The following is a 27,967-nucleotide window of genomic DNA, read 5'->3' on the forward strand; positions in this document are numbered from 1 at the left end:
AAAGGGGAAGAACCAAGGGAGTAGGAGAGGAAGGAAAATAAAATGATTGCCATAAAGGTAGAAAGAAATGCAGACTCCAGAGGCAAAGCCCCATGTCACAGAAGATTAGTTCCAGGTTGTGGATCCTAACCACGCAATTCCTGCTGGACTTTGCTCAGCCCCATTTCAAAAAGGTTTTGGATCAGTGACTTCTTTGTTACTTCCACTTTCCCCGTTTGTGAACAAGAATCACTAGAATTGTTTTTCTAGGAGGGGGGAGGGATAGCATTAGGAGATATACCTAATGCTAAATGATGAGTTAATGGGTGCAGCACACCAGCATGGCACATGTATACATATGTAGCTAACCTGCACATTGTGCACATGTACCCTAAAACTTAAAGTATAATAAAAAAATTAAAAAAAAAAAGAATCGTTTTCCTATGTCTGTCCCACCATTGCACACTGAGGGCAGATAAGCTGTTTGTTCAGTTTCACAGGTTGATAGAGGGAAGGGAATTATGTCAAGGACACCCTCAGAAGCCTCATTCATACTTGGTGTGGATGATTAAGATAAGATTTTAAATTTTTGATCTGGTGTGGTCTACATACCATTTTTCACTTTGAACTAACGCTTTAATGACATGAAATTTGGAAACCTTAGGGGAGAGGGTGAATGTATTTTGCAGATGGGGGAATGTGAGTGTCCAACTGCGGTAGACGGAATTTCTGAAATGGTCCCCAAACATGCCACACCCTTGTCTCTAAAGCCTGTTAAGGTGCTGAGACATCATTCTGGTGATTATGTTGTTATAAGCCAGTTATATGACTTTAAGATGGTGAGGTTACCTGTGTAAACTGGATCTAATCACATCACTGCATACATGCCAGTGGTTTCTCTAGCTGTCAGAAGAAGGTAACGTCAGGAAGAATGGGAGCTTGAGAAGGACTCCATGAGCTGTTATTGGGACAGCCAGCACAGAAAAAGAAAACCCAGTCTTTCAACTCCCACAAAATGAATTCCTCCTACACCTGAAGTGAACTTGGAGAAGTAGCCTGAGCTCCACATAACTACATAGCCAGACACACCTGGATTCAGCTTCCTAAAACCCTTATCAGAGAACCCAGCCTCTGCTCCAGACTTCTGTGGTTTCAATCCACTAGTTTGTTGCATGTGTTAATAGGCAGCAATAGAAAACTGGTACAGATGCCTATCTCTACTCTTGATTTATTATTTCAGATACATGGATGCTAATCCCTCTAAGAGAAAAAAATTAAAAAGCAAAGAACTACAGCAAAAATCTTGCACTCACGTTCACCTTTATGTCACTATTCTGGAGCCCTTGCAACCTGAAGAAGATAATGAGAGGCATTCCAAGCATGTGAGGAGTATCTGTAATGTTACCAACCAAATTTCTGAAAGAATAAAGATGGTACAATACTAACTCCACATAATCTTATGTGCAAATTCATCATCTATCTCTATTTCTTATAGCAGATTTTTTTCTTTTTTAGCTCATTCATTTAGGCTTGCCAGACCAGGTTTGGTAGCAACTATCAGTTATCGGTAAAAATGAAACAATTCACGAAGAGCAATGAACAGGACTATTATTAAGTTCATCAAAAAAGTCCCTAAAATGCAACATTTCCTCAAATGTCACAAAAGTAAGACAATGATTCACTACAGAAAATCCCAATCTAAGAAAATTTGAAATTTAATGATGTCGGATTTCCAAATTTTTATTTTGTTGGGGCCCAGTCATGGGCACCAGAGATTAGGAAATGACTGTGCAGAGGCTTTAGGGTATTTGGGGAAATGACAAAAATATTCTAAAACGTGACTCTGCTGATGACTGCACAATTCTACAAACCTCCTTAAATGGTTACATCGTAGATTTAAAATTGGTGAGTTTTATTACAAGTAACTTTTTTTTTTTTTGAGACAGAGTTTCACTCTGCATTTTCCTCTCACCTGCCCCACACCTCTTCCAAATCTGTTCTTTCACTTCCAGGTCGTTGAGTTTTTCCATTTAAAAATATAAAAGATACAGAAAGAAGAAGATAACCAGTCATCCATATTCCCATCACCTGGAATTAAGTACTATTCACATATGTACATATTTTTTCTTCCAAATCATTTTGAAGTTACTCTCTTTTTTTTAAATTATACACGCTTAGCATAGACCATACCACCAATACAGAAAAAGTACAGATAGGTAAAATTTCTGATCACCTTAAGTTCAAAATAACTTTTGTTAACATTAGGGCAACTCTGATCGAGTCATGTTCTTCTGGTATATCTACAGAGAGAAGAATGTATATTTTAGCTAGACTGTCCCCCCCGCAATAAATAAAGCTCTCTCTATATATACACACACATATATATGGGAGCTATATATTATATATACACACATAGATATATATGCTTTTGTAAAATTGAACTTAGACTCTATTTTTATTTTACAAATATTCCATTTAATAGTGCATGAATTTAACTGAAGACAAAGAGACAGAAACAGAAATGAAGGAATTCCTGAACTCTCAATCACATTTAGAGAGATGCTTTTCTAAAGGAATCCTCTAAAGCTAAACATACATTAAATTAAGTAGAATGCATTATGATTTGCTGTGTTTTTTTTTTTATTTTTTTTTGAGACGGAGGTTTTTTTTTGTTTTTTTTTGTTTTTTTTTGGCTCTGTTGCCCAGGCTGAAGTGCAGTGGCTCGATCTCGTCTCACTGCGACCTCCGCCTCCCATCCGCCTGCCTCAGCCTCCCAAAGTGCTAGGATTACAGGCATGAGCCACCGCGTCCAGCCTGCAGTGGTTTTCTTACTACTTTTTACAATCAAATTGATTAAGGCATTGGTTGAATATGGTACAATGCATCCATTTCAAGTTTGACGACATGTCTACTACTCCAGAAGGTCCTCTTGTGCCCTTTGCAGTCAGTCCCCTCGACTCCCTGACCCCAGCAATTAATGATGTATTTTCTGCCACTATACAGGTTAGTTTCACCTGTTCCAGAAATTCACCTTGATGGCACCACATAGAATGCACTCTTTTCATCACTCAGCATGAGGTTTTTGAGATTGGCCCATGCTATCTCATGTTTCCATAATTTGTCCCATCTTATTGAGGGTAGTACTCCGTTGGATGAATATATCACAATAGGTCCATTCACCTCTTGATGCATATGAACCTTTTCCAGTTTGGGGACTATTGTAAACAAAGCTGCTAAGAACAAGTTCTTTTTGTGAATATATGTTTTGTAAATTCCACTTGTCATTCTTTAGTATTAACTGATTTTGTAAAATGATGTCACCTTCACAAGTGCAAAATTCATTCAAATGTTACAGAGGCCTGAAGCATAAGTCTACACAATTTCCTTTGTTATATTTCATAATTAAGGGGAAAAAACTTTATCTGGGATGTTGTTTCCTATCAGCAAATCCTTAATGTAAGCCATACAGGATGCTAGCTGTACTATTAGACTATCTTCTGTAATCTGTGCAATAACTCTAAGAAGTACTTCGTATTATTATTTTCCTGTAACACTTTCCAACTTGAAGCCTAGCAAATTGAAGGACCTGGCCCCAGGTCAAACAGAAGGCAAGCGGCAGCGCCAGGACTGGAAGAAGGCCTTCCCAAAGGCAGACAGAAGCTCACGTCTCTGTCAGAACCTCGGTATTTCTGATGCGCCTGGAAGCCAATATCCAAGCCGTTCTCAGCCACTGGATTGGTGGGCTGCTTTGCTCAGAAACTCCTCGATCAGGAATCCCAAGCATACGTTAGTGATGACGGTCCCAAAACAAGGGACATTTCTTAACCATTCTAAAAACCCGTTTGCTCATCAGTAACGCAATAAGAGTTGCTTTCGGTCTTGGTTCATATATTTTATATTTGAGCAAGGCAATGTCCGCTGCTGGGGTTAGAAGTAAATGGCTCCTCTTCAGCAAACTAGATCAGTCCGTGGGACGTACGGCTTCCACTCGCAGTGTCCTGAACACTGGCTGGGCTTCCTGTGCGTTCTAGCCGGTTTTCTTTGGAGCCGCGGGTTTCTGCACGGCTCCGGGGTCGGGATGGCAGAGGCTTCTCGGAACACGCGGATCTATGAGTGCAGTCCCCGGGGTAGCCACCAGGGAACGCCATAGGCTTTCCCGCTGTGTTCCTCCTTGCCTTTTCCGTTTGGGCCAAGTAGTTTCTATTGACCATGACATTACAGATCAGAAGTGGGTGGGGTCAGAAAACACACCCTGGGAGAAGCTGGCAAAATGCCCAGAACCGCCATCACTAGGCCTGGGGTTTTCTTCTGTAGTGGAATTCTCGTGCTTATGTAGTACAGGGAGGAGCGCAGCGCATTTCCGCCAAGACAGGTGAGACTGCAGTTCTGACCTGCGGGCCTCGATGAATTGCTTTAGGGCCCCTGGGCGCCGGCAGAGCCGATCTCCTACACAAAGCAAGCGTGTTATGTCTACGACCGAACGGGGACACTAAGAAAGAGCCCCAAAGGCCCTGCTTTCATCCCAAAGAACAGCGCCTGTCTGCGTAGTTTCTACCTTGCTCTATGAGGTGAGAACACCTTCACCGCTGGCACAGAAATCCTACAAACTCCTGTGGGGACCGCGGTTACAAGCAGACGCTGTGTGAAAGGTGACTCTGGGGGCTAGGGAAAAACACGAAGATTTTCACAGAGCGTGAGACCCCAAGAGACTGGAGACCATGGACCAAATTTCTGCGAACAGTAGCCTTATGTAGAAAGAGCTATGCAATCTTCGTGCTAGTTAGCTTGTGATACACATGCTCACAAAGGCTGGCGCTTCCTTCTCCAGCGAAAAGCAAGGCGATATATCACTTCCCGATTCAAAGCATCCAACTGTAAGAATAACAGTGTAGGGAGAAAGGTCTATAGTCATGGCAATATTGCCTAATGATATTTTTTTCTGTGATGGTCATTTTATAATATTATTTAAAAGTTTTTTTTAATTAAACAAGCAATGGAACTTTGAACAGAAAAATATGAAATTAAAACAATAAAAATTACTCATAATCACACTAGACTGTGATAACTAAACTGTGAATATTTTGGTTTCATAAGCTTTTAATCTTTTTCCTTAGGTATATAAAAATATTTAAGAACCAAAGAAAATTATATCACAATGGGTATATCAACTTAGTATCAGTTTTACTCATTTAATATGCCAAAGGTAACCTACTTATCCTTTGGCTACAAGAGCTTTCTAAATGTCTGTATAATATTACATCAGATGAATGCAATATAATTTATTTTAAATATTTCTTATTGCATATTTAGATTGTTTCTAATTTTTGAGTATGATCAACAACTCTTTGACCAGTATTCCTATAGCTAAGTGCTTATGTTGTAGGTCTGATTATTTCCTTAGTACAAATTTCTAACAGTGGAGTGTCAGTCAAAGGGTATGTACAATGTAAACATGTAGAGGTGTATTGTCAAATTATCCCCCACAAAGTTCCTAAAATATGCATCTTTACTGTCATGGTATAACTACCAAAGTCCTGTACCCTTGAAAACATAGATTCTTATTTCAGAACATCTTTATCAGTTTAAAAGATAAACTATGCCATCCTCTTGTTGTTAGTAAAGTGCATTTCTTTGATTACTCCCCTTTTACAGAAGAGTAAATGAAGATTCAGTAAGTTTGTGTGAGTTATGCATGGGTGCATAGGTAACACGTGCAGAAAGCAATCACTTCAGTTTTCCATATTTGAGGTCCTCTCTGGGCCAGTACAGTTCGAGACACTAGAAATTCAAAACCACAGATAATGCCCTCCTGGGCCTGTAGGATGTACTTGTTAGGTGGCAGGGGCGAGGCCCAACCAGTGCGCACAACAATGTCATAGCCCCAGGTGAGTGTGGGAGGGGAAGTTGTAGAAATATTTTCCAGCCGAAGAAATCAGTGAAGTAAAGATAGGCAGGAGGCAGGCAAAAAGGAGGCAGAACTGGCAGGTTGTGGGGGCAGGAGTGGCCACGGATGAGGAGCCAGGCTTGGCAACACAGGTGCAGGTGTCACGTGTCATAGGCACAGGCGTGGAGATCTGAGGGCATAGAGGGGAGAAGACCGTGCACCGCCAATGTCAACTGTGTGGAAGCAAACCTGGGCTACATCTAAGAGTCCTGAGAGCAGGGGAGGAGAAGGGAGGAAGAGACAACAGAAGTCCTGGGTGGGAAGCAGAAATATTTCCTGAGTCAATGAAAGAGCCCCAAGCCTCCAGACCTGCCAGGGCTCAAGCAGGCAGCTCCAGAGGCCAAGACCTATAATCCAGCAGTTCAGGTTGATTTTGCCAGAGTAGTGTGAAGAGGCCCTGATTTTCCCCTTTAATGTATACCCATACAAAAGGCAGAAGAGTTGTTGGAAAAGCAGGAGATTCACAGTTACAAGCACATAGGAAGCACAAGAAAAACTGGTAGAAGGGATCTGGGCCCTTCAATGTTGACAGCCTTCTCTAGGAGCCCTGGCTACAACAGAAGGAGAAGGATCCTTGGTGGGTATAAAAAGGTGGGAAGGAGAACAAGCCAAACAAAACACCACCCTCAGGACTACAGGGAAGTTATTTCAGGAGATGCATTGATTCCATGTTTTTGTTTCCATAGGTTGCTGTTTTGTAACTTTTTTTTTCTTAGGTGAAAGAATTAAGTGTCCTCCCCCACTGTCTGAAGAAAGATATGCCTGTCATGAAGCGTGCCCTTACTTACTTTGAAGGGGACAAGCCTTTTCTAGCTTCAATATTTATTTCCTATTTTGATGGGGAAACCTTTAGGGAAGTAGAAAGAGAGCTTAAAGCCTCGGGGGAGACATTTTACGTTCTTGCTAAAAAAATGCATTAAAATATTTAGTACATGTCCTGAATGTAACCCAGCCCTCCAGAGCTATTTTTTTCTCACTGTATTAGTCCATTTTCATACTGTAATAAAGAACTGCCTGAGACTGGGTAATTTATAAAAGAAAGAGGTTTAATTGACTCACAGTTCAGCATGGCTGGGGAGGCCTCAGGAAACTTACAATCATGGTGGAAGGTGAAGGGGAAGCAAGGCACCTTCTACACAAGGTGGCAGAAAGGAGAAGTGCTAAGCAAAGGGGAAGAAGCCCCTTATAAAACCATCCGATCTTGGGAGAACTCACTCACTATCATGAGAACAGCATGGGGGAAACCATCCCCATGATTCAATTACCTCCACCTGGTCTCTCCTTTGACAAATAGGGATTATGGGGATTATGGGGATTACAATTCAAGATGAGATCTGGGTGGGGACGCTAAGCCTAACCATATCAGGGGAGGGGGCTCACAACTGAATATTTCAGATAATTTTAATATGTGCTGGTATCCACAAACAAGAGCCAATGTGGACTCAGCAGGCAATGTCATGGGCCTTCTGTTTCAAAAATGATTCAGATAGACTTTTATGCTTTTACATGTGCCATATGGGAGTGGGGCATTCTCATCTTGTTCCTTGTTTTACCCTCAGCATCTACCTTTCATAGCAGTAACTGATGATCATGAAATGTTTGTTGATTGAATGGCTGAAGTATAGACAGATGCAGCTTCTGTCCATGAAAGGCATCCTGCTTGCTCCTTGCACTGTGTCCAGTGAAAACTCTTGTTTCTCTGCGCAGCTGCAACACGTTTCACATCACAAGGAGCACAAGGCACTGGCTTCCATTTCCACCCTGAAGCTCAGCAGCCCCATTTGCGTCCCATCAGCTGCCTGCTCCGGAATAGAGGAGGGAAGGGCTGGGCTTCAGAGTTTGCTTTTTTTTTCTTGGTTCTGTGAATGGAAAATGTCAAAGGATCCTGTGAAGGGATCCAGATTGATACCTTGGGGTCTGGTGTACGTAGGTCTGTTTGTGTTAACTCACCATTTAAAGACAGAAAAAAGGAAAACATACATATTTATAGCCTCCTAGAGAGAGCCTTGGTGCTAGTTTTGATGGCTTGCTGGGAACACAAGTGAAGCCAAGGGGGGTATTGTGGTTGGGAGCATTGATTTTGGGAGGAAAGTGGTGCTGGTATCATTTAGGGAGGGACAACAAGATGCTCCTGTGGACCACCACTGATTCTCTCACGCTGATGACATCTGGCAGTAGTGACAATGTGATGGGAGCCCAAAGAGGGGAGGGTCTTGTAGAAATTTCACGTGGTTGCATCAACTTCAGCTTTTGGTAACTGGTGGATAGCCAAGCAGCAGGAGTAGGGCAGAATACCATGAGTCCGTGAACCAGGCAGAGAGTTGAATGACATGAACTTGAGTCAGGGAGGAGAAAACTAGGGGCCGGGCACATCTTTGATTAGTGAGTAACCAACAATGTGGACCCCCAGAGGGCTTAAGGCCCTTCGCTGGAGAACTAGATGGTTATCCCTGGGTCCTGTTATTGAGGCTAGCTTCTCTCAAGTTTCAACGCTAGTCAGACCACCATATCTAAATCATGGAAAGTGTACCACTGGTTATGTTAAGAGGTGATGTTTGAATATTTAGATGGAGATAATCAAAGTATTACAAAAATGACAAAGGATTCAATGCAGTAAACAAGTTAATTTACACACCAGAGTCAAAATTTCACAAATATTATTGCATAGAGTGAAGATAAATTTTTAAAATTTAAATTAATTTAACAAAATAAACATAGTACTTAAATGTGGCTTTTTTGGTATAGATTATTTTCTTATTCAAGATTTTTCCTTTCCTAGTTTATAAGTATTTTGTTGCTATTCTTTCACTCTCTGAAAATTGCAAAATGCATACTTAACTTTTCAAATACAAGTTTTTCCAAAAATTGTATACATCTCCTGAAAACGAGTGCCTTTGAAGATGGCAACTCCATTTCTGCTCCCTCTAATTCACGAGTTATTCTTGACTTGTTTTGTGGAATTAATTAGTTTCATCTTTTTCTTAATGGCAAAAACTACTTGTCATGATTTTTCCATGTTTCCTACCTTCTTGATCCTCATCTTTTTCTCTGATTTAATTACATCCTTTTCTGAGGATATGCTGCAGATAAACTCTCTTTTTTTGTTTGCCCAAGAATGTCTGCATTTCATCCTACTCTTAAAAAGTGGGTCCTAGAAATTCTAGGTTGGCAATTATTTTTTATTAGCACTTTGGTGATCTCATTCTTCTGGCATCCGTCTTTCATCATTTCTGTTGAGTAGTTAGTGGTCAATGCCATTCTGCCGCCTTGAAAGTAAGCTGTTTTATTCACTACCTTGTGGATTTATGCATGTGTGTGGTTGTTCTTTGGTTTTACTATTGTTTTTGGTTCATCCAACTCACCATGACATGTTCAAGTGTAGTTTTATGTTTGTGTACCCTCTATAGATTTAGGAACTTCCCGTTGGCTTTCTTTTGATGTAGGGTATCAGTCATTATCTTAAAATATTACTTACAAACGTTTTCTCTGTTCTATGTTCTTTCTCCTCTTTGTTTAGGAATCCAAGTAAAAATATGGTAAAATGTCTCACTGCCTCGTTTTGCTGTGATGCATTCTACATAATTTCTTCTGACTGATCTTTGGATTCACTAGTACCTACTTTAGCTACTACAAAATAGTGAACAGCCATTGCATTTAAAAATTTATTTTTTGCATCTTTCTATTTTAGAAATGTTCTTTGTTTCCTTTTTCAAACATTCCAGTCATTTAAAAAATATTTATTTTATTTTACATTCAAGGGGTCCATGTGAATGTTTGTTAAATGGGTATATTGCATACTGGTGGGGATTGGGCTTCTAGTTCACCCATTACCCAAATAATGAATATTGTACCTAATAGGTAGTTTTTCAACACTCACATCCTCTCCCCTTTGGGAAACCTCAGTGTCTATTATTTCCATCTTTATGCCCATGTGTACCAATTGTTTAGCTTCCCCTTGTAGGTGAGAATATGCGGTATTTTATTTTCTGTTTCTGAGTTAATTCACTTAGAATAATGGTCTACACCTCCATCCATGTTGCTTCAAAGGACATGATTTCATTATTTTTTATGGTGGTGTAGTATTACATGATGTGTATATATATCACATTTTCTTTATCCAATCAATTATTGATGGACCCATAGGTTAGACTTAGGTTGGTTCCATGACTTTGCTATTGTCAAGGTATTGTCCTATAATGATTTGTTTTCCTTTGGGTCGGTGTCCAGTTATGAATATTTCTGGGTCAAATGGTAGTTCTGTTTTCAGTTCTTTGAGATATCTTCATACTGTTTTCCATAGAGCTTGAACTAATTTAAATTCCCACCAATAGTGTATAAGCGTTCTCTCTTTGCTCTGCATCCAAGTCAACCTCTGTTTTTTTCTTTTTTCAACTTTTTAATAACAGCCATTCTGACTGATATAAGATGATATCTCATTGTGGTTTTAATGAGCATTTCTTTAATGATTAGTGATTCTGAGCATTTTTTCATGTGTTTGTTGGCTGCTCGCATTTTTTTTTTTTGAAAAATGTCTGTTCATGTCCTTTGCCCAGTTTTTAATGGGGTTGTTTCTTTTTCTCTTCTTGAATTCTTTGAGGTCCTTGTAGATTCTTGATTTTAGTCCTTTGTCAGAGACATATTTTGCAATTCTGTTTTTTTTTTTTTCAAGCATGGCGAGAAAGATTTTATTCAGGACCAGAGCAATAGTTACAGGGACCACTGAAATGTTGTCTGACAGTGGGGAAGAGAGATTCCATGCTGGTCATTTTTAACAGTTTTCTTTTATTATTATTGTTATTATTATTATTATTATTATTATACTTTAAGTTCTAGGGTACATGTGCACAACGTGCAGATTTGTTACATATGTATACATGTGCCATGTTGTCGTGCTGCACCCATTAACTTGTCATTTACATTAGGTATATCTCCTAATGGTATCCCTCTCCCCTCCCCCTACCCAACGACAGCTCCTGGTGTGTGATGTTCCCCTTTCTGTGTCCAAGTGTTCTCATTGTTCAGTACCCACCTATGAGTGAGAACATGCCGTGTTTGGTTTTCTGTCCTTGCGATAGTTTGCTGAGAATGATGGTTTCCAGCTTCATCTATGTCCCTACAAAGGCCATGAACTCATCCTTTTTTATGGCTGCATATTTGACAGCTTTCTTTTGCTGAGATTGTTTCAAGTATGTTCCAACTTTGGGCGTTATGAGAAGAGTTGTTTTACAACATTTTTCTCTGATTATTTTTAAATCTAGGGTCTTTGTAGAACTGTTTCTTTCTCCACTATTTCTTCTAGTTCTCTGTAACGGTTATATGTATATATATATATGATACATATGTACTTATCTATCAGCTATATACATCATATAGGTGATACATACATACGCTGTGAGTGCATTATTTTCCTTGGAATATTATTGTGGAGATTCTTTCAGGATGAGGAGGAACTGCACATTTGTTTCTATTAGGTATTGTGAACTGTTTTAAACTAAATTTATAGCTTGAGTTTTTGAGATTGTAATTTATGCAACAGCAGCATTTTCCCCATGCTTTGTTCAGCACCAACGAACACTTCCTTGCTGACACATGGAAGCAGGAGTGAGGTAGTGTGGGTTTACTTTTGGTTTATGCTTATTGTGAAATTATAGCTCTTTGGAGGTCTTGTTTCATAGGGGGAAAGTCTTCTATTATCACATGCGTGTTGCTGGGGACTTGAGATTTTTTCCTTCTTCCATATCACTCCACAGAAACTGAAAAACTGAAGCTCAAATTCACTGCTTTCATGAATTCTCCAAGGGCCAAAGGGAATTCAACATTTAGCTTTCTTTTCTGAGATCAAGACATCACTTAGATTTTGGTCTTGTAATTCCTTACCATCTTGTATGCTCTTTGTTGCTCCAAAATCTTCTTTTTCTTCTATCTTATGCAGAATTTCTAGTTGTTTTTATCAAGAATGTGGGTTTGAACAACTGAGCATATTATTTTATTGGAAAAGTGCAATTGCTTTTTACTACCGATTCCTAATTATCCAGAGGATCTAGAAAAAATGGATTTAACTCTTTGGCCAATTAAAACACAAATTTATTCCAAAAATGGATTATCTGTTCTTATAAAGCTATAGTATATTAAAAGATATTTAATACATAAATAACAGTAAACAAAGTATCCTCTACTATGGTTTGAAAATTATTTAGAATCTTGCAATTGTCCTGGGTCTCTCTAAATGCTAATGATCACCAATGAGTTTGACAAATAGAGATGTTACAAGTGATTGGTTTAAATCTTTGCTGCACCTTAAATGTATTTTAAAATGTGCCCCTAACTCTTTATTTTACCTGACTGTATTTCAGTGCATCAGTTTAAGAGAAGACATGAGATCATGGGTTTAAGTGAGGCTTCATCATACTAAGACAACGTGATCAGGTAAGTACTTGCCCCTCTACATGTCAGCATTCTCACCTGTAACATAGTACAAACAGGACTTTGTCTGAGTCCCTTGCAACATTTTGTGGAGCATGAAATACAATAAAGACCGTGGATATGCTTTGTAAACCTTGAGTTTCTACACATATGCAAATATAAGTACTGGTAAGATATAGAATGAACAAGGGAAATAGAATCCTATTTTTATGTTTCAATTTTATGGATTGCTGGAAAATTGAAGTGTATAGGAGTCTTCCTGTGTTGCTCACTAGAATGCCTTTGGCTGGGTTTACTGGTATTGCATGAAAACAGCTGTTAGCAAAGACAAGACTTAGGCACCCAACAAGACCTTTTATTTTCACATGACTAAGCCTCTGACTTCAATATGCGTTCCGTGTTTTTCCCAGAAGTTCTTTTGTGTTATGTACAATTACTCTGCTGAACAGATTGTATTTGTTTTTTTCTTTGTTTTTTTGTTTGTTTGTTTTGTTTTGTTTTGTTTTACTGTGAGACAGTGATGCCAATGCTTGTGTAATTAGGATGGGGGTCGCAGACTCTGTACTTCCAGGAGAAGCCCCCGGAAGGTCTTAGCTGGCTCCTGAGGGGGCACATTTGCTGTGCTCATTGCACTTTACCTGGTGTCATGAAGCATAAAGAGCACAAACTTGGACACCAAGAGTCTACATTAAAGTCCCACTCCTTTATGTTTGTAAATATGGGATATTGGGAAGTTGCTGCACCTTTTTTTGCTCATTTTCTTCACTGAACAGCAGAAATAGAAAAATTTCTTCTTAATAGGGCTTAAGGGAGACTCAAATACAACACTGTATATGATGTTCTTTTGCAAATTGTAAAGCAAAGTACAAAGTTTCAAATATATTCATTATACATATATATCTAGCTTTTTATTCCATTTGGTTCAAAAAATTTATGTGCTCCAAAAAATTATGGAGGTGATACATATCTAAGTAGAGGATTTGTCAAATATAAATATCATGATGTATTAACAAGGCTGGACAGCTTTTATTAACACATTGTCTGCAGCACAAAAAAACAATGCCTGGGCCTGAATAGGAAACATATGAAAATATTTCTTAAATCAATGAAAGATTATTTAATAATTAAGAAAAACTGGCCAGGCGTGGTGGCTCATGCCTGTAGTCCCAGCACTTTGGGAGGCCGAGGCGGGCGGATCACGAGGTCAGCAGATTGAGACCATCCTGGCTAACACGGTGAAACCCCATCTCTACTAAAAATATAAATATTAAAAAAAAAAAAAACTAGTCAGGCGTGGTGGCGGGCGCCTGTAGTCCCAGCTACTCGGGACGCTCAGGCAGGAGAACGGCGTGAACCCGGGAGGCGGAGCTTGCAGTGAGCCGAGATCGCGCCACTGCACTCCAGCCTGGGCGATAGAGTGAGACTCCGTCTCAAAAAAAAAAAAAAAAAAAGGCGAAGACAAGGGTGAGTTTAGAAGGTGAAATCTGTGCTGTATATACTGAGAAATTGCTTGGGATGACTCATTTGATTCTGAATATCTGCATTAGCCAGTGCAGGCTGGCGTAACTAAATGCCACAGACTGGATGGCATAAGCAGCAGAATTTCATTCTCTTACAGTTTTGGGGGCAGTGAAGTCCAAGATCATGAAGCTGGAAGGGTTTGGCGTGTGTTGGGGCCTCTTACCGGCTTGGGCTGCTTTTTCCTTATGTGGCCTTTATACATGTGAGGTCGAGGGGAGAGACATCTGTCTCTTTCTTTCAGTATAAAGCCACCAGTCCTAGTAGACTGAGGTCCCACCCATATGACCTAATTTGACCTTAAGTGCCTACTAAAGGCCCTGCCTGTCTTCAAAAACAGTCACATCAGGGATCAGAACTTTTATACATAAGATTTTTGCAGGGACACGATTCAATCCAAAGCAATATCTTATCAAGATAACGATATGTTTGGCTACGTCTCCACCCAAATCTCATCTTGAGCTGTAGTTCCCATAATCCCCACCTGACATGGGAGGGACCTGGTGGAAGGTGATTTTATCATGGGAGCAGTTACCTCCATGCTGTTCTCCTGATAGTAAGTGAGTTTTCATGAGATCTGATGGTTTTATAAGGGGCTTTTCCCTCCTTTTTCCCACCTCTCTTTGCTGCCGCCATGTGAAGAAGGACATATTTGCTTCCCCTTCTACCATGATTGTAAGTTTCCTGAGGCCTCCACAGCCATGCCGAACTGTGAGTCAATTAAACCTTTTTCCTTTATAAATGTCCCAGTCTTGGGTATGTCTTTATTAGCAGATTGAGAAGAGACAAATACGGATAATATGATTGGTTAGACAATTTGAGAATCTTTATAATATTTTTCAAAAGAAACATAAATATTGTAATTTTTGTCAATAACTGGTGAGCAAGGAATTTAATTTCTTTGAATGTGTTTTTGTACTTGTGAAATAGGGATTATAATTCATGCATTGACTTAATGTTATTATAACACTCAAAGAATGTATTGTGCACTAGTCCTTGCAAACCCAAGCAAAGCCCTTGGGTTACACATGTGAGTTGTCATCATTCAGTATTCCCCTTGCCATGGGAGGGGAAAGAAGCATGTATGATCTGCACTGCGATGCACACATGGGCCCCCTGGAGATGTGGAGCAGGTGATGGATCTTCAGTCTCCATTAGAACCTTATTATTGGACATTTAGAAAAAGGCAGAAAAAGTTAGCAGCTCCAGAACTGCTGGATCGTGATTGTGCTTCTGTTTTGTATATATCTCCATTGACTTCAAGTTACTGCCCACTCGGACCTATGATTCCAATCCCCCTCCCCATTCACCTACAGAATAATGAGACTGTGATTTAAACTAGAAAGCCAGTAGCTTTTCTTCTTTATTTTCTTTGAGTGATAGCCACAAAGGGGAGAGTTTAAGAAATAAGTCGTTGCTTGCATAAAGACTGCAGAGAAAAACCTTCGTTTGTTTATTTTTTTCCTTTCTTCTATTTTCTATTCTAAAGCTGCATGTGGTCTCCTCCTAAAAGGAGTTTACTGGTAGCATATTAAACATGTCTAAGACACTTCTGAATACTTGAATATAAATTATTTACATAACTTGTTAATTTATTTGCTTATGTAAAAGATATGGTGGGTCAATTGGGTAAATAGCTAGCACACTGCAGACTACCTTGGCCTTTTTTTCTACCTGAATGCCTTGTGGCAATGAAAGAGTTGTGAAAAGGAGCAAAGAAGAAAAAGCAATTTATAGTCAAATTTTGAGAATTTTTAAAAGAGGAGGAAGAGGAAAACAATTTGACAGAGAAAGGAGGAAGGGAGGAAAGTAAGAAGAAAATAAAGGATCATATGTTAAAATCAGAAAGAAATATACAAAAACCTAAAGATGACATTGGAATCAATGAAAGCAAATATACTAGGGTCAGATTTTTGCCTCTCATCTCTAATCTAACACAGTCTATGTCAAATAGTTACAGCATCATAACTTCTGTCCCCTTTATTCAGAATTAGCAAAGTCTGAACTGACTTACCTGAACAGGAAGAACTAGTTGAGTAATTTCTTTTAGTAGCATGGTAGTGGAAAATTTTAGAATCATATAAACTTAGGTTGAAAATTCTGCTCCTTTACTCTCCCGCCCTGTGACTTCAGGTAAGCTTGTTGATCTTTCCAACTTCAGTTTCTTCTTCTGTAAAATAGAGATAGTAGGACCTGCCTTATATATTAAATATACATATAAACCATAGAGATGCCTCTGAAATTAGCATAAGCTCCTTTGGAAATTGAAAATGGCAATATTTGGGATAACTTTCACTGTTTATGTGTTTGCTGAAGGTAAAAATATCAGTTAAAAATATCTTTCACTGAAACAAGAGGAAATTTACTCTTAAATAGGAATACTTTACGCATCGAGCAGAGATAAAGAGAATTTACATGTGTCTCTAGGTTCCTTGGCTTCCAGTAGTATCTTTATTTGTGCAAGTTTTGTGTTTTGTAAAAGCTAGAAGGTCAATAATCAAAACGGCATTTGATTGCTTATTCATTATTTGGTGGTGCAAACATGTAGAACATTTTCTGTTTCTATTTCTGGCAAACGGAAGGGATGGTAAAACTAGACGCAATATTGGACGAACATTAGCGGCCCAGGACTGGCCTCAGTCATTGAAACTTTCATTAAGAACTCTGGGCATGATGGATAATTTTTGTGTCAAATTCACTTAGACATGAGGTGCCCAGACTAAACATGGGTCCTGGTTATGCCTGTGAGGCTGTTTCTGTATGAGATTAGCGTTTGAATCAGCAGACTGAGTAAAGCAGGTGGCCCTCCACCGTGTGAGTGGGCATTATCCGATTCACTGAGACCCGAATAGAACAGAAAGCACAGGAAGGGTGACTTCACCCTCTGCCTAACTGCTTGAGCTGACACATCAGCCCCCTGTGCTGTTCTTGACTGGGTCTTATACCATCGACACTTTGGTTCTCTCAACTACATCACTGCCTCTCCTGGGTCTCCAGCTGCAGATGGCAGATCGTGAGACTTTCAGCCCCCATAATCACATGAGCCAATTTCTTATAATAAACTCCCTCTCTCTCCTTCTTTCCCTCTCTCTCTGTCTATATATATATATACACACACACACACACACACGTATTAAATATATACGTGTATATATATACACACACACACACATGCGCGCACACGCACACACATACTCTTGATTCTGTTTCTATAAAGAACCCTGATTAATACAAAGGGCAATTTCAAGGATTTGATTATATATATAAAATATTAAATCACTTATACATATAACATCGTGTGTGTGTGTGTGTGTGTGTCTCCTTTTACTGAGTTACCTCCTGATTTTTATGACTTTAGGATGAGAACCAGGGCTATTTTTCTAATAACACAGATACCTTTCCTGAGAAAAATCATCCTAGCCATCCACAATGGCAAAGATCACATATGTGTATGCATGTTCATGTGGTCACATATGTGTGCATGCATGTATACATGTCTGCATGACCACATATGTGTATGCATGTGTATTAGGGTTCTCTAGAGGGACAGAACTGATAGAATAGATGTACATATAAAAGGGGGTTTATTAAAGAGAATCAACTCACATGATTACAAGATAAATTCCCATGATAGGCCATTTGCACGTTGAGGAGCAAGGAAGCCAGTGGTGCATCAGTCCGAGTCCCAAAACCTCGAAAGTTGGGAAGTAAACAATGCAGTCTTCAGTCTGTGGCCAAAGGCCCGAGAGCCCCTGAAAAATCACTGGTGTAAGTCCAAGAGTCTAAAAGCTGAAGAACTTGGAGTCTGATGTTCGAGACCAGGATGCTTCCAGCACAGGAGAAAGATGAAAGCCAGAAGACTCAGCAAGTCTGTTCTTCCATCTTCTTCTGCCTGCTTTATTCTAGCTGTGCTGACAGCTGATTAGATGGTGCCCACCCAGATAGAAGGAGGGTCTGCCTCTCCCAATCCACTGACTTAAATGTTAATCTCCTTTGGCAACACCCTCACAGACATGCCCAGGAACAATACTTTGCATCCTTCAATCCAATCAGGTTGACACTCAACATCAACTATCACAGCATATATGTATATATGTTTGTTTAAAAACACAGCAAGATATCGGAATAAGCTTTGTACACTAGGACTATTTGCAAAGTTATTGTGTGAATATAAAGAGCTAATATATATCTTAAAATTTTCTGTAGAGGTAGTTGTATACACAGGCTGTAAAAGTCAGCATTTTTCCTCATATTATTCCAGAACACATAAAAAAGCAACAAGGAAAATGGAGAAAAAAAGAACCAAATATATCCTTAGTGAAACTAGAAAAAGTTAGAATCCAAAGATTTCAAAACGTATGTAGAGATGACCAAATCTAGTTGGAATCAGGCACAAGCCACATGGGAGTAAATGAAGTATGGAGGTAGTGAGGCCAATGGCTGATAATCTCAGAAAACACCAACAAAATGTACTCCCTGAAAATTTGGGAGTTCACTTCCATGTTCAAAACTTATACCCCTTTTTTTTAACCACAGGAGTGGGAACCAGGGTACACAGTCTACCAGAAAAAGTCCCCTCCTGGACCCAGTTTTGTTCAAGGGAGGAACAAGGGAGATTCAACCACACAGAGAATCACCAGAGGAGCCATACTTGCAGGAAGCAGTCTGTCTCTGTGATAGCCCAGTAGGAAAGAGCCATTCTGGTGTGAGGCCCAGAAGGTTGTCTTAATTCTCTCTCTGAACCTCTGTAGTTATCTAGGAAAACCCAAGCCATTTAGTAGTATATTACAAAAAATAAAAGGAAATAGATACCCATTTATACAAAAATTATCTAAGCAAACATCTGAAAAGCAAAACTCAAGTATTACAGAGAAAATGAGAACTATGGAAGACCGACAAATGGATTGAACACATACATTACTGGAACATCCAAAGAAGAAACCAAAAGAGACAGAACAAATACTTCAAAATTATAATTCAAGAACACTTCTGTGCAATGCATGAAGACTTGAATCTACCTTTCAAAAGGGCACATCAGAAGCAAGGTATATCCATTCATGACAGGCAAAAAGTGAACCACATCTTAATGAAGGTATTGGACTTAAAAAAAATAAGGTATCTATTGGGCAGCCAGAAAAAAAGAATAAGTCACTCACAGGAGAAATGAAGAAGGCTGTCCTGGCTCCCCTAGCTGTACTGAAGCTGGATGGTCATGAGGGAAGACCAACAAGATTCTCAATGCCAACCAAGGATTTTTATGTGCAGCCAAGCTAGTCTTACTATGCAGACATGATATATTACAATTTGTTGCAGTTTTTATCAAGCAGGAATTCAGGAAAAATATTTTCATTAATGTTTTTGAGAGAACAAAAACATGGGTATGTGGAGAAAAAGGGCAATACATTTGGTTACAGAAGGAAGGAAAACAATAACAACCAATTAAAGGAAGATGCTTTGGTAAAATACAGCAAAAAAAAAAAAAGTTGTAAGTATTGAATGTATTTTACTGTAGACTGAAACCAAATGTGGATTAGGGTTACAGAATAGGCTGGAAATGTCGTATGCCCCAATAACATAGAAATAATAAACTTTACCTTGTCAAAGGTGAAGAAAGATAGTGAAGGTAAGGAAGCCTCATTAATTACCTCACTTGTTATGACTACAGTGCGAAGGATAAATTTTAAAGGTGGCAAATACAGCAAAATAAAAGCCTACTTAGCAGTGCAATGGTAGAGTAAGGAGGATAACATTTACTATCCTCCTTACTTACAAAGGGCACCTGCCACTGTATGGTGGTGGGCTGGTATCAACTCAGTCATACCCCTACCTGGAACCTAGGTTGTAATGTTAGTTCCACCAGTACTCTTCAGATCAGGCAGCATGATAAAGGGAAGGAAGGCATTAATCAGCACAAGTAAACAATAGCTGATATAGGTTCTGCCTCTGCTGTTGGTCTATGTTCTATGTTGATAGTCAGCTCCTCTTTTTCATTTTTTCAAATCACCTATCAATGCTCCCTTTACCTTCTACCAACACCTTTCCCTATCAGAAATTTTAAACTAGTAGTATGACCAAAATTTTCATTCCAATAGACTGCAAATCCTTTACAGCTACAGTTTCCCACTAACCATTATCTTTGGACACTAGTGAATTAAGGAGCCCCAGTAAATTGCCCATGTTCTAGATGTAATCTTCTTTGCTCCCATTGTATACAAACACTCCAACATCCTTTCGGCACTGTAAAATGCCAGTTCAAAATAGGAATTCTCTATCTCGTAACATGAAAAGCCCAACATGATTATAGAACAGTCTCAGGTTCTCATTGAACGAAACCAGGACTATGTTTCTTGATGCAAAATTCTTCCCTTGGCCCTAGGACTTCACAACACACTGAGTATAAGGAATTAAGAATGAAAAATACAGATCCCATCAGTGTAAGACTGAGGGAGGTCATACCCAATTTCACCCTTTTGTTTTCTGACCGTGTGTTCTAGTATTCTGGCTTTGTGGAAAAGGTGGAGTGAACTTACAATTCAGTTATCTAAGTCAGGTCACTTTTGACGGTGAAAGGGGTTGTTGTTAATAATTATGTTAGAAATTATTATTATTATGTCCTGGGAAAACTGGAGCACATGGTCACACAAGAGACAGAGTCATACATTGGTCATTGCTCCACAGTCATTCTGCATGCTGGAGAGGAGTGCTCCAGGCCTGCAGCACGCCATCTCTCAGCTCGCACTGTGTGAGAACCTCCAGGAAGCCACCTCCCCTTCTGTAAAGCCACTGGGTATCTGCAAGACAGGCTACCAGCAGCAAAGGTGGGCAAAGAGGGCACTGGTCAATGCCCGAACTGTGGGATGTCTTAATCTGTTTGTTCTGCATTAACAGAACATGGACATGGAGGCTATGTAGTCTATTGAGAAAAACATATTTCTCACAGTTGTGGGTCCAAGATCAAGGTGCCAGCAGATCTGGGGGCTGGAGAGGGTTGCTTTCTGCTTCCAAGATGGCGACTCTTGCTGTGTCCTCACATTGCAGAAGGAATATAAAAGCAAACAGGATCTAGCTAGTCCCCTAGAGTGCTGTTATAAGGGTATATAATCACCTCCTCAAGGCCTCACATCTTAATCCTGTCACACTGAGGATGAAGTTTCAACATGAATTTTGGAGGGACACAAATATTGAAACCATAGCAGGAGGCAGGGAGTGTTTTCGTGGAGAGAATACTGTTGCCATCACTGCAGTTCCCACTGCAGAAAAGGAGTGGGAGAAAATTACCCCCAACTCTCTGTCTTCTGAGCATCCCATCACCTTACATTGATCTCCGTCAGCCAAATCCACATGGAAGTTCAAGCCCAGGAAAGCCAGAGTCATGCTATTTATAGAGATATTGGCAGTTTTGGGGTGCATAAAGAGGGGTAGAGAATAAAGAGGGGTTGAAAGACAAGTGAAGATAAGCCATCACTGATATCTGTCAGATACTGTGCAGCAGGGGTTTGGGGGGAACTGGCTGGTTTTGGTCAATGCTGTCTGTGAACACAGCCTTGGGAATGGAGAGACAGGGCTTGCTGGCTGGATTACAAGTGGGGAGCATCAGGGCAGGTTATTTGCTCCATGTGTAGCTGGCAGACTACCATGTGGTTTTAGAATTTGGAAGCTTTAGTAACTGCAAAAACTGCGACACAAAATTCGAAAACTATCCTCCATCATATTTTAAAATTAAAGAACACTATCATTTTAAACGTGTTCTAGGAACACATCTCCTTCCTCATGGTACTGGCCTTTTCTATAAATATCTCAAGCTCCGTTAAGCTTTTCTTAATAAAAGTATGGATGCACAAAAGAGGAATATTTTCTGCTTGTTCCAATATCTCTTGAGGTTATTAACATGTTTGACTTCTTAGTCATGATAAAATGGCTTTCAGTTATGACCCCTCCTCTCCTTTTTTTTTTTTTGAACTTTCCCAAGACCACCATCCAAACTCAAGCCTTCATTGCAACTGATCAAATCCAGTGCAAAAGCTTTATGGTCTTATACGTAGCATCTGCCTTCAATCTGCTTGCTTCAGTGCCTCTTCCACATTGCTACCCAAGTATCTTCCTAAAACATCACATTAAGTTGGGTGATTTTTCTGCTCAAAAAGCGATCATGGATCCTCTTTGCATATATAATAGAACACAGTTCTTAGCCTAGCATTAAACATGTTCCGTAATCTGAGCCTAGTATGTTTTTTCTGGCTCTACTTCATTCTTAAGCTATCTATGCAATACAGATACGAATTTGAACATGCCCAACCTCTCTTGCCTCAGTTATTTCATTTGTCCAATTCCTTTCATCTAGCATGCAGTCACCAGGATTTGCCTGTGCTGTAAACCCCACTGTAGCTCAAGGCTCCATTCAGATTCACCCTCCTCCATCAAGCCTACTCTTGACGGTTACATTTAATCCTTCCTGATAGATTAAGTCCTTATCTTCATGGTGGACCTTCTGTTCTGGGTGCTGTTATTCACCTTGTGGTTTCTGGGCTGTCTTGGCCAAGTCTTCCCCCATAATGTTAGCCATCTCCCAGACTTAAAGTTTACAAAGCGTACATTGTCCTTTTTTTGTTTGTTTGTTTTTTGTTGTTGTTGTTGTTTTGGTTTCTTTTTTTGAGATGAAGTGACGCTCTGTCGCCAGGCTGGAGTGCAGTGGCGTGATCTTGGCTCACTGCAACCTCCGCCTCCCAGGTTCAAGTGAGTCTCCTGCCTCAGCCTCCCAAGTAGCTGGGACTATAGGCACCCGCCACCACACCCAGCTAATTTTTGTACTTTCAGTAGAGACAGGGTTTCACCATGTTGGCCAGAATGGTCACAATCTCTTAGCCTCACGATCTACCTGCCTCGGCCTCCCAAAGTGCTGGGATTAGAGGCGTGAGCCACCATGCCCAGCCAAAGCATACATTTTCTCATTTATCTTTACTTGTGATGTGCTACAGTCATAGATATTAACATGTTTCCAATTTAGCAAGACTAGGAAACTGAAGCCCGTAGATTTTAGTCACAAACTAAGTAGTATACACCTCGGAAAGGAATTAATTCCCAGATACAAGGATGTATCCTGCACCACCACTGTCTCTGTTCTACAGCTGCCAAAGTGTAGAAGTAAAGTGGGTGCACATGCTTCATTCTTCAGCAGTCCACCAAGGATCCCCTGAATCCTTCTGCTCACATAGGTGATGGTAGTCAAGAGACCTGAAATGGGTCCGTCTGGAGAAGCAACTGATGAATTTAACTTTCTACATAGTTAGAAAACAAAAATCAACTCACTTGACAAGTACCTGGAAGAATTTGTATATGATTTAGCATCTTTGTGCTTTATGGACAAAATGAATACTACAGAAAAGCATTTATAAATGATAAATCTATCAATCCAAATAAAATACCATCTACTTTGTGATGTATTTCTTTTTCTTTTTCTTTTTCTTTTTTTTATCTGAGATGGAGTCTTGCTCTGTTGCCCAGGCTGGAGTGCAGAGGCATGATCTCAATTCACTGCAAGCTCCGCCTCCTGGGTTCACGCCATTCTCCTGCCTCAGCCTCCAGAGTAGCTGGGGCTACAGATGCCCACCACCATGCCTAGCTAATTTTTTGTATTTTTTAGTAGAGACTGGGTTTCACCATGTTAGCCAGGAAGGTCTCCATCTGCTGACCTCATGATCTGCCCGCCTCGGCCTTCCAAAGTGCTGGGATTACAGGTGTGAGCCACTATGCCCGGCCTTTTTGATGTATTTCATAAATAACTAGAGTGGCATTACTTTAATCAGTTAAAAGCTTGTTATATGCAAAAATTTTAAAAGTTTGCTGCATGTAAAGGGCAGGCTTTCTAAGTTTGTGACCGATCACAAGGATCCAAACTATTTTATATTTGTTTCAGATAACTGTAAATACATAGAAATTCATGTTAAAATAAGTAACACACCATATTTTTGCATGTTTTATTTATTAAGCTTGTTATTATACGTTTTCATATATTTTTTCTTCTGTTTTGATCAAAATGATGGGAAAATAAGCTTGCATATTATAAGGAACACATTTCCCCCAATAGTAAGTGGCTTTTGTCTTTTGCTCTTTGATAAGATCTTTCAGAGAGACTTTTAATTTTCATCATTAAGTTTAATTAAATTTTGTAAAGTGGCTGGTTCAATAACACATGGCTTTGAGCATGAGTAATCAAATCGTACGTGTTTCCTGAATACTATCATCAACTTCAAATCTTGAGTTAGAATATGCACTTAGAGTGAGTTGACATTGATGACAATGGATATAACCTATGTTTCAAAATGCTTTCCTGATGATAATGTAGAATTTTTGGCTGACTCCTTGCCATTGTTTTCAACTTTGCTACGTGGTTGACAAGAGTATATACAACTAATTGAAGAAATGTAGCTCTGATATTTTATTGTTCTTGAATTATCATATTATCTAAATTTGGTATTTCTTTGTAGGAAATTTTTTAACCCACTTAACCTTTTGTGAAGTTAGTTTAGTCAAAAGTAGACAATTTAATCCTTGAATTCACTTGCCATGGTTAAGATGACTGTGCCATTTAACAATAGCTGCAAGAGATCCTGTGAGTGGGGCTGTGGGAACTCCTCTGCCCTCTGCAGGGCCCACATTTCTCAGGAAACCAGTGACTTCACTTGCTATGCAAATCTCTGACATGCAGCCTGAGTGGGGAGTCCAGAATCAGTCTACATGTTCAATATTAGTAACACTTAGATATGTGCCTACTTTTTAAGATAATAGAAATAGATACAGAAATTCTCACAATTTATTTCCAGAACCAAATTGACTATTTTTTAAAGCCAATTTTGAATACTTTTCATCTTGTAGATCAGATAAGTCCATATTGCTTCTTGGTCCATACTGAGGGCTTGATTCTCTTGGATTCCTGAGGAAAATAGGCTCCCTGGCCCAGTAACTGCTGTGACCTCAAACTCTTTCCATCATTGGAGTGTGGTCAACATCAGCAGTTGATGAAACTGAAAGTCAACATTTCACTTTAGCTTGTCCTGGAACTAAACTGAGAAGACGTCTTTGGAACTGGTCACACAGGGAGAAGTATCCCGGTGTGAGGTCAGATGCATGCACATTTCTCAGTGCATGTGACTACACACTGTGAACTCTGCGACTGATGCTTTCTCCATAGTGAGGAAAAAGACCTTGTTGAAAAATGCCAGAGTACTATCTTGGAACCCCAGAGTATTCGCATGACTCAAATATCAAGGGCTGGTTTTTTTTTCTCCCCAAAATGGCTTAGAAAACAAAATGTATGGATCTGATTGTCTCTTATACAAAGGCATGTTAGAGTTTGTAACCTGTGTAAATGCTGTAATTAAACCCTTGTTTTTACATGGATTCATTATGTTAAATTCTTCAGTAATTACTGACATTTTCTTTAATGTGTACATGTGGCGAACATAAGAATATGATTAGCTCGAGTTAAAAGTGTAAGCAGTAATGAGCATATTATGGGTCTCCCTTTGTCTTTGGTCACTCTAAGCTTCTTGACAATAAAGCTTGACTTTTTATAGATTTGCTGCACTATGCAATTTTCTGTAAGCAAATAAATGCATGTAAAGTAAAAATGACAACATTCATATACATATGTTGAATGGTACAGCTTCTCTTTACATTAGCTCCCCGAGTTACAACCTCTCCCCTTGTGTAGGTACAAGTCGGTGATTAAAGTGCAGAACAACTTCCCCAATACAGGAATCCAGCTTCTGAAAATATCTGTGCTGGAAAACTTGCAATGGAGGAATGGAAGACTTGAGAAAGGGAGGGCTGGGAAACAAGAGCTGTGACTCACCCTGAAGACATTCGTAAATATCTATTTTAATATCTATTACAATACAGCAATAAAGGCAAACTAAAAAAGGCTATACAAGGCATTTTGCACATCTTCATTTACTGGGTTCTCTGAAGCCCATTTCCTGTTAATATCTTTTGCTGGAAGAATCTTCTCAGGATCTCCCCTTCTGTCTGTTCCAACCAGACTCCCGTACATTCATTTTCGTTCCTCGTGGGTAATACACCCACTGAGAGACATGTTCCTTTGCTTTTTTTTTCTTCTTAGGGGGTTTCTCCACAAGATTCCTGGTTGAGTTGATGGAGTGAAGGTCTGTCTGTCCCCCAATTTTTTTTTTTTTTTTTTTTTGGAGACAGAGTCTCACTCTATCCCGCAGGCTGGAGTGCAGTGGCGCTATCTCAGCTTACTGCAACTTCCGGCTCTTGGGTTCAAGCAATTCTCATACCTCAGCCTCCCGAGTAGCTGGGATTACAGACGTGCACCACCATGCCTGGCTAATTTTTGTATTTTTAGTAGAGACATGGTTTCACCATGTTGGCCAGGCTGGTCTCGAACTCCTGACCTCAGGTGATCCGCCTGCCTTGGGCTCCCAAAGTGCTGGGATTACAGGCGTGAGCCACTGTGCCTGGCCTGTCTGCCACCTTTGATGGACAGTGTGACTACAGGGACAGAGGAAGATTCCCCAAAGACCTGCACTCACCCCCTCTAATGCATGTCCAGACATCGTCTGGCTCTCAGCACTCCCCTCCATTGCCCAAAGCCCTTTTGCAGGGCCTCTGCCTGTTCTGCCTGCTTTGTGCTTTGTTTTGTTGCATTTTATTTCCTTTTCTTTCCTGTTTCTAACCCAGTCATCTCTTTTTCTAGTTATTCCCAACCTATATAACTCACATACACTGGAGGAAATATCTTCATGGAATTAAAACCACATGGAGTAACATTTCACGTAAGCAGAATTCAGGAAGGATTTCAGTAATTCCATCCCAAACACACACAGGTAAAGGGAGTGAAGATTTCTTCAGCAACATGGTGGCAGAAAGATCATGAAAAGATCTAGGCCAGGCAAGTATGCAAACAAGACTGACTCTTCCTTTCCACTGGAGCTTTGGGTAATTGCTCTCACAATTCTATGATTTGCTGAAGCCACAGAAAATCAGTTTTAAAACAGGATTTCTACCCCTGGCTCACTACATGACAAATAATTTTATCCTGTAATCTTCTGATGTTAAACAAAGATGGCCCTCAATGTAATTGTTACAGTGCCTCCTCCCCACTTCTGTTAGCTGTTGCTTCTCTGCCTCCCACGAGTTTAGTGTAATCCCAGAACTTTGGGAGACCAAGGAGGGCAGATCACTTGAGGTCAGGAGTCAGAGACCAGCCTGGCCAACACGGCGAAACCCCATCTCTACTGAAAATACAAAAATTAGCCAGGCATGGTGGCTTGCGTCTGTAATCCCAGCTACTTGAGAGGCTGAGACACAAGAATCACTTGAATCCGGGAGGCAGAGGTTGCAGTGAGCTGAGATAGTGCCACTACACTCCAGCCTGGGAGACAGAGCGAGACCCTGTCTCAAAACAACAAAAAACAAAAACCGAACAAACAAAAACTGTAATTGCTGAAATGCTCTTTTTCATCAATCATATATATTGAACCAGGGTCACGAAAACATGGGAAAAGTGTAATTTCTGCCTCTGAGGAACTCACAATCTAGTGGGAGACACCATTTATTCATCCATTCTTTCATGAAATACACATTGAGAATGTAACACACCCTGGGCAAAGGAGAGGTCATTTGACTATGACACAAGACAATAGTCATAGTCTTTGCCCTCATGGAATTCACAGCCTAGCCATGGAGATTAAAAATAAAAAGATCTAATAGAATAAAGAGTAGTAGATTTAAAAACACTGGAAACCCAGTGTGCAGTAAAACTAAAAAAGAGGGCTACCTAACCTAGTGTGAGAGGTGAGGTAGAGGTTAGGGTGAGAAAGGATGGTATAGGAAGGCTTTCTGGAAAATTTCAAGATAAATCTTGAGGATAAGTCAGAATTCTACAGGTGAAAAGTAGAATAGTGCCTGCTACCTTGCAATTGTTCAGCAAACATCTGCAATGATTACTAACTGTCTGTCAGTTTTTGGCTCTGCTTCAATCCTCACAGTCCAAGCTCACTGCAGTTAAATCTTCAGTCTCCAGCACTGCACTTGGGAAAGCGTCAAGGAGTTGACTGTATATGTAATTGGAGTGCCAGAAGA

General features: G+C 39.9%; 2 long non-coding RNA genes across 2 annotated transcripts; one reads left to right on the forward strand and one right to left on the reverse strand.

The window, feature by feature from the left end:
* Positions 1 to 3,632: 3,632 nt before the first annotated feature.
* Positions 3,633 to 27,084, forward strand: LOC102723348 (uncharacterized). The gene is made up of 4 exons (XR_001737754.2): positions 3,633 to 4,547; positions 12,277 to 12,349; positions 25,575 to 25,728; positions 26,580 to 27,084. It is a non-coding gene; the product is annotated as an uncharacterized LOC102723348 (long non-coding RNA).
* Positions 14,808 to 17,632, reverse strand: LOC124904405 (uncharacterized). Its single transcript, XR_007066577.1, has 3 exons — positions 17,471 to 17,632; positions 15,879 to 16,034; positions 14,808 to 15,025 (listed from the first exon to the last, which is right to left on the reverse strand). It is a non-coding gene; the product is annotated as an uncharacterized LOC124904405 (long non-coding RNA).
* Positions 27,085 to 27,967: the final 883 nt, after the last annotated feature.

Source organism: Homo sapiens, chromosome 1 (assembly GCF_000001405.40).
Source record: "Homo sapiens chromosome 1, GRCh38.p14 Primary Assembly".
NCBI classification, from domain to species: domain Eukaryota; kingdom Metazoa; phylum Chordata; class Mammalia; order Primates; family Hominidae; genus Homo; species Homo sapiens.